The 13,352-nt window shown below is 32.9% G+C and overlaps 1 protein-coding gene and 1 long non-coding RNA gene across 6 annotated transcripts in view; one reads left to right on the top strand and one right to left on the bottom strand.

The window, feature by feature from the left end:
• The window catches only part of PPP1R12A (protein phosphatase 1 regulatory subunit 12A), a 161,898-nt gene extending 152,440 nt beyond the window's left edge, over window positions 1-9,458 (top strand). For 4 of the 5 annotated variants that reach the window (NM_001244990.2, NM_001143885.2, NM_002480.3 and 1 more), the window contains 3 exons: window positions 1,159-1,206; window positions 4,421-4,471; window positions 7,006-9,453. In NM_001244990.2, coding sequence (NP_001231919.1) covers window positions 1,159-1,206; window positions 4,421-4,471; window positions 7,006-7,092 — 186 coding nt within the window. In that variant the 3' untranslated portion in view covers window positions 7,093-9,453. Of the gene's footprint in view, window positions 1-1,158; window positions 1,207-4,420; window positions 4,472-7,005 lie in introns of all 5 variants that reach the window. The other variant, NM_001244992.1, reaches the window with a different exon arrangement.
• Window positions 3,115-13,352, bottom strand: part of PPP1R12A-AS2 (PPP1R12A antisense RNA 2) — an 89,875-nt gene continuing 79,637 nt past the window's right edge. The window contains exons 5-7 of the long non-coding RNA NR_187531.1: window positions 12,048-12,128; window positions 4,576-4,670; window positions 3,115-4,448 (exon numbers count right to left, since the gene is read on the bottom strand). This is a non-coding gene — a long non-coding RNA (PPP1R12A antisense RNA 2). The remainder of the gene's footprint in view (window positions 4,449-4,575; window positions 4,671-12,047; window positions 12,129-13,352) is intronic.

Raw genomic sequence — 13,352 nt, 5'->3', positions numbered from 1 at the left:
CACCATAACCGTAAAAATTGTGAAAGAGGGATCAAAAAGTGACTTGGTTATAAGTCCTAGAGATACTAAAACATGAATACTGAAAGGGTTGGCATAAAAGAAAATTATGTAAAGAAATATTTTTAAAATTACCACATTTAACAGTGAAATTGTGTTTAATCAATATGTTTTTAAAGCATATTTTGTGGTTAGCACTCATAAAGCATTCTTGTTAAAGTGGTCAAAAACCATTTTTGGTAAATTAGTAAAATTGGTTATTCAGCAAGTTGGCTTTTGAGGAATTCATTTTCAGCAAATTGACCAGGAATTCCAAGGGAGATGTTTGTACAGAGATCAATGTAAATAAAATCTAAGATGCCACTGTTTTTTTCTTTTTTTTTCTTTTTTTGTTTTGTTCTTAAACTGTGCCTGTGCTTAATGTCCAGAGCTCTCCAGTACAGGATACAACAGGTAGGCTAAAACCCAAGGTGCTTTTCCATCCCTTAAAGCCAAGCTTATATATCAGGATTTCATCAGCTTTGAGCTGGTCAGATAGTACAGGAAGTGGAAAAAATGAAAGGCCTGAGCTCACCAGCAGAAGAAAGCTGTACAGCTAGAATTTCTTATAAGTGAAAGTGGATGTGAACCAATTGTGGAGCATGGATGATTGGAAAAGAAACCTAGAGTGTGAGCCAAGACCAAGATAGCTGTGGGAGAAGATAAAAAGGCCAGTTTACTGGTCTGGCTGCATGGATACAGAGTCATTCAACCTGCTGATGAATATATTTCAATCAAGGTCCTGGAATCTGACCATTCTGATTAGCCACTCCTGATGGTGTAGGAAAGGAAAGAATTTGAGCTTCAGAAGGAAAGCTACAGTTTTTTTTTGTTTTTCTTCCACATACTCACTCACCCTCACGCCCAACTAAACTATGAAAGTTCCTGGGGAAAAGTGATAGAGAACATAAAATGAGAGCTCTGGTTACCATTCTATTTCTAAACATTCATTGCACTCTTTATTATTTTAATACAAATCCTGTTTTCTCTTTGCTTTACTCACGAACCTGTGTTTTACTCCACTTGAATATTGTGATTTAATACCTATTAAAAGAGAATTACTGTGGTCACCCCTGAACTTTTTTGCACTTATCTCTTTTATAATTTCTTACTTTGTTGCAGAGACAAGAAAGATTTGCTGATAGATCACTGTTGGAAATGGAAAAAAGGGTAAGTGTCCCACTTATTAAATAATTATTTTTTTCTTTCTTGTTTTAGGTAAACAATGGTAGGTTTTTTGTTTTTATTTTGTTATTATGGATGACAGTTTTAATTAGTTTAAATATTTATTGAGTTAATGTATTTTGCAGCAACTTCTTTATAGAATTCTATGGGGTTTCTCTAGGTATGAAATGACCTTGTTAAATAAAATTTAATTTACCACATAATTCTTTTAATGAATTTAAAAAAACTGTCTTGCCTTGATTCTGAAATGTACTATACACATTTTGATAGTGAATTTGATATTTTTGAAATGCCGTTTATCTCTTATGGCCTGTACCTAAAACGTTTTAATCATAAATACATTTATTTTAATTCTTTATAAACCTAAAATACTTTCGTTCTTGAAATAAAGTTTCTAAATCTGGAACATCAAATTTTCAAATTCTTTTTAAAGTTAATTTAATAATTTTTTAAAATTTTGAGTTTAAATATTTAACTTAAGTAGGCTATTTTAAACAAAAAAAAGATTACAAGAAAATCCTTATGCCACTTGATGTCTTTCTGCAAGTTTTTATTGATTGTAATACATTCACTTGTATTTCTCTTCACTTATTGTTGCTCAAAGGTCTAGGAGTAGTCATAGGAATAACTGTACAAGTTTAGCCTCATCAGTTGAAAATGTATAAATGATCCAAAAGTTAAAGGAAAAGTGCCCAAAGATTGTTTGTAGTGTAGCTGAGCAGTAGCTAGACTTGGTAGGGTTTCGACCAGAGAAGAAATGACATGCTGGTAGCTATGATCAAAGAGTAAATACTTAGGAGCTATTGATATAAAAACATTTTTCTTCCATTCTATTTTAAAATAACCAATTTGCCCTTTTCACCAAAAAAAAGAGAAATGGTTAAAAAAAAAGAATATAAAAATAGTGTTATAATGTCTGTCATTTGCTAGTTGTACCTTGCAATAGCTACCATTTTATTATGCTTTCTGCAAGTTTTAAAAATTAGTGTTCTGAGTCATGTTTTCAAAATGGACATAATAATTGCTAAAATATTGTTTTAATAAATTTAATATTATTATATCCTGTTAGAATATTTAACTGTTACTGAATTTTATCTCCAGGATAGGCAGAAATAATAAAATCAGTTCTCTGTTATACTAACGGTTGAGATGAAAGGCATGGATAACAAACTGTACTTAAAGTAGTATTTATTTTTCAAATACAATCACAATTTTAAATATTTAATTTTTCTTATGAAAGTAATATGTTTATTACAGAAACTTTAACAAAAGAAGACAATATTAAATTATCTGTAATCTGTCATGCAGAGATAGCTGATATTTTGATACTTTTTTTTTCTAACATACACATGATGCAGACACATTCATACTCTGACAAGCTCACCTAACCTCCTTTTTCTGCTTGTCAAATGCAGATAAATTACAAAGTAGCTAATCCACTCTCTATAATCATGGTATTAATAGTAACTGCTAACATTTATTCATCATTCTCTGTATATCAAGCAGGCACAAAATTAAACACTTTACATGCATTTTCTCTAAACCATATTTTTTTTCCTTGTGTTTTTTTTTTGTTTGTTTGTCTGTTTTTTTAAAGAGACAGAATATTGCTCTGTCACCCAGGCTGGAGTACAGTGGCACAGTCACCGATCACTGCATCCTCCAGTTCCTGGGTTCAAGCAATCCTCCTGCATCAGCCTCCAGAATAGCTGGCACTACAGGTGCATGTCTCCACACCCAACTATTTTTTTAATTTCTTTTTGGAGACAAGGTCTCACTTTGTTGCCAAGGCTGGTCTTGAACTCTTGGCTTTATGCATCCTTTCACCTAGGCCTCCCAAAGTGCTGGGATTACAGGCTTGAGCCATTGTGCCTGGCCAGTTATATTTTTTAATGTTAATATGTTTGTCAAACATAAGAAATTTCATATCATTTTACAGATGTCAATTTCATTGAGCTAATAGAATCAGGCAGTTGGGTGTAGTTTTCTTGTCTTACTTTACCACTAATTTAAAATCTTGAAGACACCTAATAAAATTGAGGCTCATAGGGAGATTACCTCTCAGAAGAAATATTCTATTTCTGATATTTTGCAAAGTGGTAAAGATCAAATATGACACTTTATGTGCTAGTATTTTGAGAAGTGTGATGATTTGTATGAATTTGTCATGACTGTATTATTTAGTAGAAGAAAGATCTATGTATTGAAAATAATGTTTCTGTCTATACAATAATGTTTAGGCATGCCGATGTTGGAATAACATGGTACTTAAAAGACGATCAGTAGGATTCTGTCTACTTTTTAAAATCACATACCCTAAAAACATTAACATTTACAGTAAATGTACTGCTTGACTAAATATCAGCATTATTTATTAATCTGGGAAAGAGTGTCTTGGAAATAGTTTCAGTGTGATTAAACTAAATTTAAATGGTTTGTATCTGAAAGGTGACCGGCAAGAGTCAGTATCTTCTGGGCGGTATGACCTAACCAGTTTTACAGCTCATCAATTACTGCTGCTTGCTTTTTGCATAACACCCCAGAATGCTTATCATTTAAGGGAGAATAAAACAGTACACTGCAATAATGTGTTGTGTGTTGGCTTTGCCTGTCACTCTTTGAAACAAGTTTAAAATAAACGCTGCAGTTGCTTTTCTATTACATTCACTGCATTAATGCTACACATAATGTCAACCTAAATACAAAGCTATAAAGTCAGTTGGATAAATAATGGCTAGTACACATTGTGAGTGGAGGAAATGAGCTTCTCTTACATTCCTCTGAAATTGCAAAGTACACATATTTTAGGCATGTTTGCTTCTTGCTTTTCTGCTTCTGTCACTGTAATATGATTGCATCTTTGTGTGAGTTTTGTTTTTCTTCTCTGTACAGTCTTCAGTCTTGAGTATTGATTCACTCTAAGTTTTACATGAACTCAAAAAGTAGTTTGAATATGTTATGTAGCATCTTCCCAGAAAGTCAAAGCTTTAAATTAAGAGCTTGTACTCTAAGGATAAAGATCTTCATATTTATTTTTGTCAAATTTTGGAAAGCTCTTTACATATCACTGGCATCACATCTTTTCTACACTGCTCCTGATTGGACCTTTAATTCTGAAGTATCACTATTTCACAGTATAGAAGAAGACTTAAGAATATAATAATTATATAACTAACATTGGTACCTTAAATCGATCTAGGAACGAAGAGCTCTAGAAAGAAGAATATCTGAAATGGAAGAAGAGCTCAAAGTAAGTAAACTATGTTACTTATGAGAGAGAGTGCTGTTTATGTATTAATGTTTAAAATACTATTATAGATATGGTTTACATTAATTGTTCTCAAAGCTGATTACCCAATTTGTGAACTGTCTATATCTGGTGCTTCTCTTTCTTCCTGAATCCAGGTTTTAGTGAGCCAGAAGAGGGTCTAAAACCCAAATCTTAACACCTATGAAAAGAAGGAGCAAAAATAAAATAAAAAATAAAACCCGAATTATTTTGATAATTAATTTGTGTAGCACTTTTGCTGTTCAGGTATAGAAAAAGTTAGACAATAATAATAAGATGTAGGATTTATTATTTATTCTTTATGTTTCTATATACTTTCATGTTTTTTGGCGAGTAAGTAGTGGAGGGGGTTACTATAAAATGTTCTCCTTTGAAAGTAAAGGACATTAGGGGAGTGAACAGGCAGAGCTGTATTTTATCAAACTCCATATTACCTATAGAAATAATTATGTTTTGAATGTCTTCACAAGTAGCATAGTTAATTGATTACCTCTTACCACACTGTCCTTCATAAAATCTTTATCACATTGTGAATTAATGAACCAGTGCATAGTAAGTATATTGTACCCACAGAATTAGAAGTTCAAGATTTAGATATTTCATTATTAAATTGTTTGGTTTGTTATTAGACCATTATTGAATGGCTTTGAAGATTGGAGACAAATCTTTTGTATTTTGTTTGCTTATGTATTACTTAGTTTGAAATAGAATTTTAGGAATACAGTGTTTACCTTTCTGAATCTCTTGTTCCTTTAAGACGTAATATTTTTAAAAAATTACCTGTGATTACATTCTTATTATACTCTTTTCCATTTTCTTATTTTTTATTCCTATTTCTTTATGTTCTGATTCCTGCAGAACCTGCACCAAATAAAGCAAATTCAATCTCTGAGGGAGTTAAATGAGCGACTGCTGACTGAGAATAGGGCCTTGACAAGAGTGGTAGCCAAGCGCTCAGGGTTCTATAGGCAACTGCAGTCTGTGAACCTATAATTTTTAGTTTCATCATTTCTTCTTGGTAGAGCCAGGCAGGTGTTTTTATATTAGTAGGCGTGTTTTGTAAGAGCTCACTTTTACAAATTAATGCCATTGTGTCTGGAGCATATCATATAACTAATTATGCATGGCTTCTTAGAATGTTAGAAATTGTCACTAATTGTATATTGCAATTGATGAGCTACATTAAAATTAGGGATGATTTTGGAATTTAAGTTAAAGACTTATCTGTACTTTTGTAAAGCTTTTGCACATTTTTTAGCTATACAGATATTTTAGGACTTAAAATATGACTATTATTTACAGTTCTTTACTAGAGAGAAAACCAACAGTATATAACATTTTACATATAATTAATATATTTTGAAGCTGAAGATTAAGCATGCATTATGTTTTTCAAAATAATGTCATTTGAAGTCAGAACCACATTAGTTTATATTTAAGTTTATATTACAAATATTCAAATGAATAAACTTAATATTACTATATTTTATATCTTAAAGATTCTGAACACAGATAAGAACATATTGGTTCCACGTAAAATTAAATCTTCTTAAAGATTTTGCTTTACCTAGTTTTGCAAATAGAAGTTTTACTTTTATCAAGTTAGATAAACTAATACATTTTGAAAACTGAGGAAAGAGGACTATTTTGGAAAGTATGGTTTAGGGACCAAAAATATGAGCTATTTCATTTCCTAGTGAAACTGGCAAAGAACATACAGTTTTAATCATCCTTAGTAGAGTATTCAGTTAACTTGTAATATTTTCACCCCTTCATCAATTTGTCTGTAAAACAACAGAAAATTGAGATGTGTTGTTTGAAGATATGAGGCTATTTGCTTCAAAATTGGTTATTTTTGTAATAGTTGGATCATAGATACAGACTTTCTACTTTAGCTTAAACATGATGCACTATTCTAATAATAGTAATTGCTTGTTACCATTTAATAAGCATCTATCTGGGATCGGACATTGTTTAGGCATTTTAAACTGAGCTACTGTAGGTGAATCGTTTAAGGAATTTTAATAATTTAGAACAAGTCTAATTTCCTCAATGTTTTCCTAGGTAGTTTGACTTTCTTGTGGAACAATATTAAGTATTATGATTTTAGGTCTGACATACATAAAAGCAAAAGTCTTTGGTTTAGGTGCTGACAGGAACCTCTTTTAAGAGCCTATCCTAACAAAAACAGGCTTGTCTTGGCTGCTGGAATGTGGTGTGCTTGTGAGTCATAAAATCAAGTGATTTAGTAAATTTCAATGGAAAATTTGGAGAGAATAAACCTTTCATTCCAGCATTTATGAAACTAATTAGCTTTACAAATCCAGGTGTGGTTTTTTTCCTTCTTCCTGATACATGTTTTAGATACTAGAAATATATATAACTGACAAAGCTTGATCATGTGTTTTGTGGTGAAAATATAACATTTATTAAGAATAATGTTTTATCTTTTAATATTGAAGGTAAAACTTGATCTTCAATTTTTCTCTTTATAGATGTTACCAGACCTAAAAGCAGACAACCAGAGGCTAAAGGATGAAAATGGGGCCTTGATCAGAGTTATAAGCAAACTTTCCAAATAAAAAAAAAAAAAGCAGCAAGTAATGGAATTGCACATATTAGTAACCCAGTGGACCATAATTGGCAGTCACTGGAAGTCTGGGAAGAATCCTTGGAGACTGTCATTTTCGGATATCCTGCCAAATGCCCTCTTATCTAGAATTTTTGTTTCATTTTGTTTAATTTTCTGGGGTGTTTTTGTTGTTGTTGGTTTGTTTTTTGTTTTTTTTTTTTAATCAAGACCATTGTTTCATGTTAATGCAGCTGCTGAGAAGATTTTTTTTTAATGACTGAGAAAACTTGTTTACAGCTCCAGCATATAAGGAAAGTGTTCAAGGCCAGATATGCCTCAGATATTTAACCAGTAAGCCTTAGTTGTACATAAATACTTTTGTGTCAACAAAAACTTTCAGCTCTCACAGAAGACAGTTACTCAACATTTTTTGATGTGCCACAGTTTCGAGTTTTTCGATATTTAAATTTTTTGGCTTTTCATCTAAGTTTGGGTTTGTATTTTTTCCTTCTAAACTCTTCATGTGGCAGAGTCTTCTATGTTTTCACAGCTTTTTCATTACAGAAAAGAACACTTGCTCTTCTGTGATTATTGTCATGTATTAGGCTAATGCTGTGTTGTCTCCCACCTGGAACTGAATTGCTTGGTGGAACATATGCTTTCACTGTTTGTGCAATATGCATTTATTTCTTATATGAATGCTTTAAAGTCATTTGAGGTTAGATCTTTTAATTCCTATTTTCTGCTTCATTGGTCACTTTTTTTTTATTGTAGTATAAGATGTTAGATTCTGTAATCTTCACATTCATTTTAGCAGGTACTGAGTGATGCTGTATATACAAATAAGTGTATTGTTTTGATTTTTAGACCACCACATGGCATGCTTGACTATTTCTTATTTCAAATGTCTGCTAATGCAGAGTAGGCTACTCCATGATAGTGTTAAAAAACAAAATTTGCTAACAATGTGATATAAAGACTTTAAAAGTTACACATTATGTGGAGCCCTATCTTTACAAAAGTTTCCTACTGTAAAGTGCTTTTATTTTCAGTTTTCACTTGATAGTACTCAACCATAATTAAAGTTGCATAAGATAATTGCTTTACATTTCACATACCTATATTTATCTGAGTGCTGTCTAAAACTGTTGTGCTAGCCAAAGTAATGCTATGAAATCATTTGCAGAATTAACCCGTGAGTTAATGTTAAATGCACTGTTATTGCCATGTGAAGAGGCATCGACTTTGATACCACCATCATGTTCAGACCATTTTATACATTTCAGTGGCCTTTTTTTTTTTTTAAGGAAAAAAAAGCGCAAAACCAAGTACATAGTGACGATGGCTTTTATTTGGACAAATAGCTTTTATATTTTCATTAAACCATGCAAAAAATACTACATCTTTCTGGCACATAACTGTCTCCTTAACCACTGAACAGTTCAGCCATTTGAATAAATTGTACATTGTAAAGCTTATAGTAGCTGATTGTATTATTGATTGTATTGTATACTATATTAAATGTGAATTTGTACCCCTTCATTTTAAAAGGTCATTGTGTTCTACTGCCTATTTTAGATTACTTTGGGGTTGGGGAAGGGTGTTTTGGTAAGCAGGATTTTAAGTCCTCTCTCTCTCGATTGGTTTTATGAAGATATAAGGTTATGCTCTTACTACCAAGCTCAGGATTCTTGATTTTAAAGGTACAAGGATAGTTGTGGGAGTTTTATTTTTGGTTATATTTGAACTGTATGAATGGTAGGTCTGAATATTGAGAATTTCCATGGTCTTATGTGGAGGTAAAATATACAGATAACTGATCAGTTTGAGTGACTGCAACATGTTCTGGTTGCACAACAGTTAGGCATGCTATGGTTTATATTTGTGAAGTTTGGATGCCTGTGAAGAATGATTAAATACATGTTTCTAATATTTTAGTGTTTTGTATTTAGGTTATTTATTCTTTGTATCTAAAACTGAACAGCTACTGTGCTATATTGATTTTATTGGTAGTATTGAGCAGACCTTGTTTCTGCATGAAACTAGTTGCAAAACCCACTATTTTGGAAATAAAAATGTATTTTGACATATACAAATAAAATGAATAAAACTATTTTAAATGTGTGAACTTTTAATGAAGACATTTTAAATTTTGTTCTGAGATATTTAAATTCTGCATGGGTATTTTTTCACTAATTGCTTTACTTGGATACCAATTTGAATAATTTCTGAAATTGTAATATTGTGATAATTTGCACAGCATTGTACATGCACATCTGTAAATGCAATCTTAATTGCCATATTTATGCAATCTGTGTACCAATTTGGACAAATGTTTATATATTTTACATAAAGCTGTCTGTATGCAGAATCTGAGAACTAGTTTTTTTATGATAATAAGTGGGTAAAAATTAATAACAGTGAGTTTCAGGGTAGTTGCTTTGTAGCACAAGATTTCGCTTCCATAAACATTGTTTTTTTTTTTTTTCTTAAAGTAAACCTGTGCTTTTTCTTATCTGCAAACATAGGCTTAGCGATACATATAAAGGTAATATTCCATTGAAACATACAGTTTACTTTAATATTAGATCATTTTCCAATTTAGATTTGTCCAAGGTTCGACCTGCTAACACATCTATAAATAAGAGGCACTTTTAGCCAGGCATGGTTGGGAGGCCCAGGCGGGAGGATCACCTGAGGTCAGGGGTTTGAGACCAGCCTGGCCAACAGGGCGAAACCCCGTTTCTACTAAAAATAAAAAATGAGCCAGGTATGATGGTGCAATCGCCTGTAGTCCCAGCTACTCAGGAGGCTGAGACAGGAGAATCACTTGAACCAGGGAGGCAGAGGTTGTAGTGAGCCAAGATTGTGCCACTGCACTTCAGCCTGGGCAACAGAGTGAGACTCCGTCTCAAAAAAAAAAAAAAAAAAAGGCACTTTTGATTTTGGAACTTTGATAGAGGACTGGTAGTAAGCCTAAATTAATACTATTGACTAAATTAATATTGACTAAATTAATACAACAAGGATTGAATTCTATTATTTCTATTTCCAGTACTTCACCTATTCATGCTCAGAATGGTAGGTTTTACTGTTATTTGTCCTCCATAAAAAAAACAAGCATTTTACATGCAAATACTTGAAAGCCAAATAAAAGCTACTATAGAACTCTAGAGGAGTATTCATATAAAAAAGTAAAGTAGATATTTTCTAATCCATTAGGCTAACTTTATTCTTTTGCTTAAAAGTATATTACTACTTAATCTTCCCTGGCTAATCTGAGACAGTCATGACTCCCAATCCCAACACATTTCCCATAGGGCATAATAAATGGCTTTGTAGATTATCCTTCACTTTGACATTATAAGCAGAACACAGAGCAAACTCCACTAAAAATTATTAACTATTCATTAGCTCTATCTTGTTAATGATAACCTTTGTTTGCAAAGACAAAAGCTGGCTGATGGAGTCTGCTTTGATGTTCCATGTTTACACTGTATGTGTGTGGTCTCTGTATCTGAATATGATATTCAGCAGGGATAATGTACATATGAGAACTCTAAAAGTATTGGGTTTAGAGTGAAATATTGATTATTTTCATATTTTATTAATCTCTGTCTAACTGAATCCATTTCTTGACTTTGATTTTGGAAAGGTTCTCTGGCGTTAATTGCCATACAAACGAGTGCTCTTTCTCTTAGGTAAGTGATGTGGAGAGTATTATATTGCTGTTCCTTGCCTATAAAATAACCAGATTACAAAAGTATTAAATATAAAATAAAATTACAGGAGTCAGAAGTGTGAGACTTATTTCTATAATGTAACAAATAATGGATTCTACCTTATTACTGTAACTTCAAAGTTTTATTAAAAGTTGTCTAAAGGTTATTAGAAGTAAGATCTTTTGAGCCAAGCTATCCCAACACGTCCCCGCTTAAATTCCAGTAAATGTCTGGGTCTCATAAACCAACTGCATTTTCATTTTTAAAAAGCTGAAGGAAAAGGGGAAAAGTGTGAAGAAATGAAGGATATTAGCAGATTCTGTCCTCAAAAATATATAACTAATAGAACATGTACTTGGTGGTTGTAGGCCTGGAAGAGTGACAGTGGAAAAGAAGAGATTTGTTTTCTTCCCCCCTTTCTCACTCTCAGTTTTTCTTACAGGTCTGTTTCAACAGCATATCTCATTTGATCCTTAAAGTGCTCCATTTTACAGGTGAGAAAGCTGAGGTTTACGGATTATTTGTTCAGCATCCAAAGCCTGGTACAACACAAAACTCTTAACCGATACTTTGTGGTGGTGGTTTTTCCCAACTGAATCCAGGACTTTTTTTTCATATACCAGTTAGTTGCATAGATTATTTTCATGTAATTGCGTAAGTTTCTTGAGTCTATATACTTAGGCTTAAAATATTTGATTATCTTGGAGAATGGCATTTCTTGATTTTTTTTTTTTTTTTTTTTTTTTTTGAGACGGAGTCTCACTCTGTCGCCCAGGCTGGAGTCCAGTGATCTCGGCTCACTGCAAGCTCCGCCTCCCAGGTTCACGCCATTCTCCTGCCTCAGCCTCCCGAGTAGCTGGGACTACAGATGCCCACCACCACATCCGGCTAATTTTTTGTATTTTTAGTAAAGACGGGGTTTCACCGTGTTAGCCAGGATGGCCTCGATTTCCTGACCTCGTGATCCGCCCGCCTCAGCCTCCTAAAGTGTTGGGATTACAGGCGTGAGCTACCGCGCCCGGCCTCTTGATTTTTTTTTTTTTTCTCCTCATTCTCTAATCTCACATCCTCACCCCTACACCTGCTATATTTTTCCTTCTTAGGGCTTACTTAATACCACTTTGCCCTATAATTTGTTTTTGTTTTTGTTTTAGACAGAGGAATGCTGTAATGCTCAAGCAGTTAGTTGATTTTCTGGTGCAAATTCTAATGATGGCCAGTAGTCCATTAAGATTTAACATACCTGCATGAAAAATTTCCTTTGCATTCTTCAAAAATAGATTTTTAAAAATTGGTGCTCAGAGCTTAATTCCTTTTTTATTCCCTAGTAAGATAAGCAACGTTATTAGTGCTACAGTTTTAACAGACTTTTCCAGTGAAAAATGTGTGGAATACCAAATATGTAAAACATAAAAATTGAATTTATAGAAACTCATAGATATGAACTTCCCCACCTCCCAAAACAGTAGCCAAAATGGGCCTCTATAAAACAGTTTTATGACAGCAGCTTGACTCCTTCACTTGTTACTGCACAATTCTTAGGTTGTGACCACAGCATTGCTAAGCAGATGCATCTGACTTAAACTTTTATAATATATATACTATACACATGCTCTAGTAGTATACTAGTTTATGTGAGTGAGTATGCTATTACTTTCCTCAACAGTGAAAAACAAATAGAGGTACAGAGTAGGAGAAGCCTCACACAAAGATAACCTGGCAGTACAAGTTAGTGCACTAGTATTCAATATTGTCCAAATTTTGCCTATATCTAAACATTATTTTTACAATTTCTAAAAATTAAAGCATTTTAGCAAAATTTGAATTTAAATTTGGTAAAATCCATTAAATAACTTTGCAAACCCTACGGGGACACTGATCTGTAAACCTTTGACATGGTCCTTTGGATTCAATCACATCTAGATAATAAATCTCAGCTTCATTTGATAAAAGTCAATTACATATATCCAAAGCATCTTGTTTTAAAAAACATGTTATTGTTTCTTCTTAAAATACCTTAAAGCAAAATTTTGGAATAATTTACTTGGTTACCATAAACACCTAATTTTTTACTCAGACCAGTAAGGGAGAAAGGTTTAAGAGGTGGATTTCAGAGGACTTCCTTGTCCCATTGGAAAGAGCAAAGTAAACCTCTGTAACTATGCTGCCACATCTGTCCTAAAGGACTCCAGGGACACTGACCTGCTACTCATATGAATCTGCTTTGTTTATGAACCCTAGTTGCTGTTACCAGAGAAGGAAAGATAGGGAAAAGTGGCAGGATGTTTATAGGCGTCATATGCAAAATGTGTTTGCCATAGAAAAGACAGGTGGTGTGGGCTAGAAAATGTTGTAATCAATACTTGATAATAGCTAATAATTATTAAGAAAATATTATAATTTGTTGGAATGTCAGGATTATCACTAACTGTGGATACTTAAAGTTTACGTAATGCTTCTCAAAATATCATGAGGTCATCTGGGCCATTTGTCAGCCTTCGGGGTCAGACTAACCTTGTTACATAATGCTCTTCTGCATAAGAATGTT

Source organism: Homo sapiens, chromosome 12, assembly GCF_000001405.40.
Source record: "Homo sapiens chromosome 12, GRCh38.p14 Primary Assembly".
NCBI classification, from domain to species: Eukaryota; Metazoa; Chordata; class Mammalia; order Primates; family Hominidae; genus Homo; species Homo sapiens.
The sequence above is the reverse complement of the archived record's forward strand: the minus strand, read 5'-3'. Positions and strand labels throughout refer to the sequence as shown.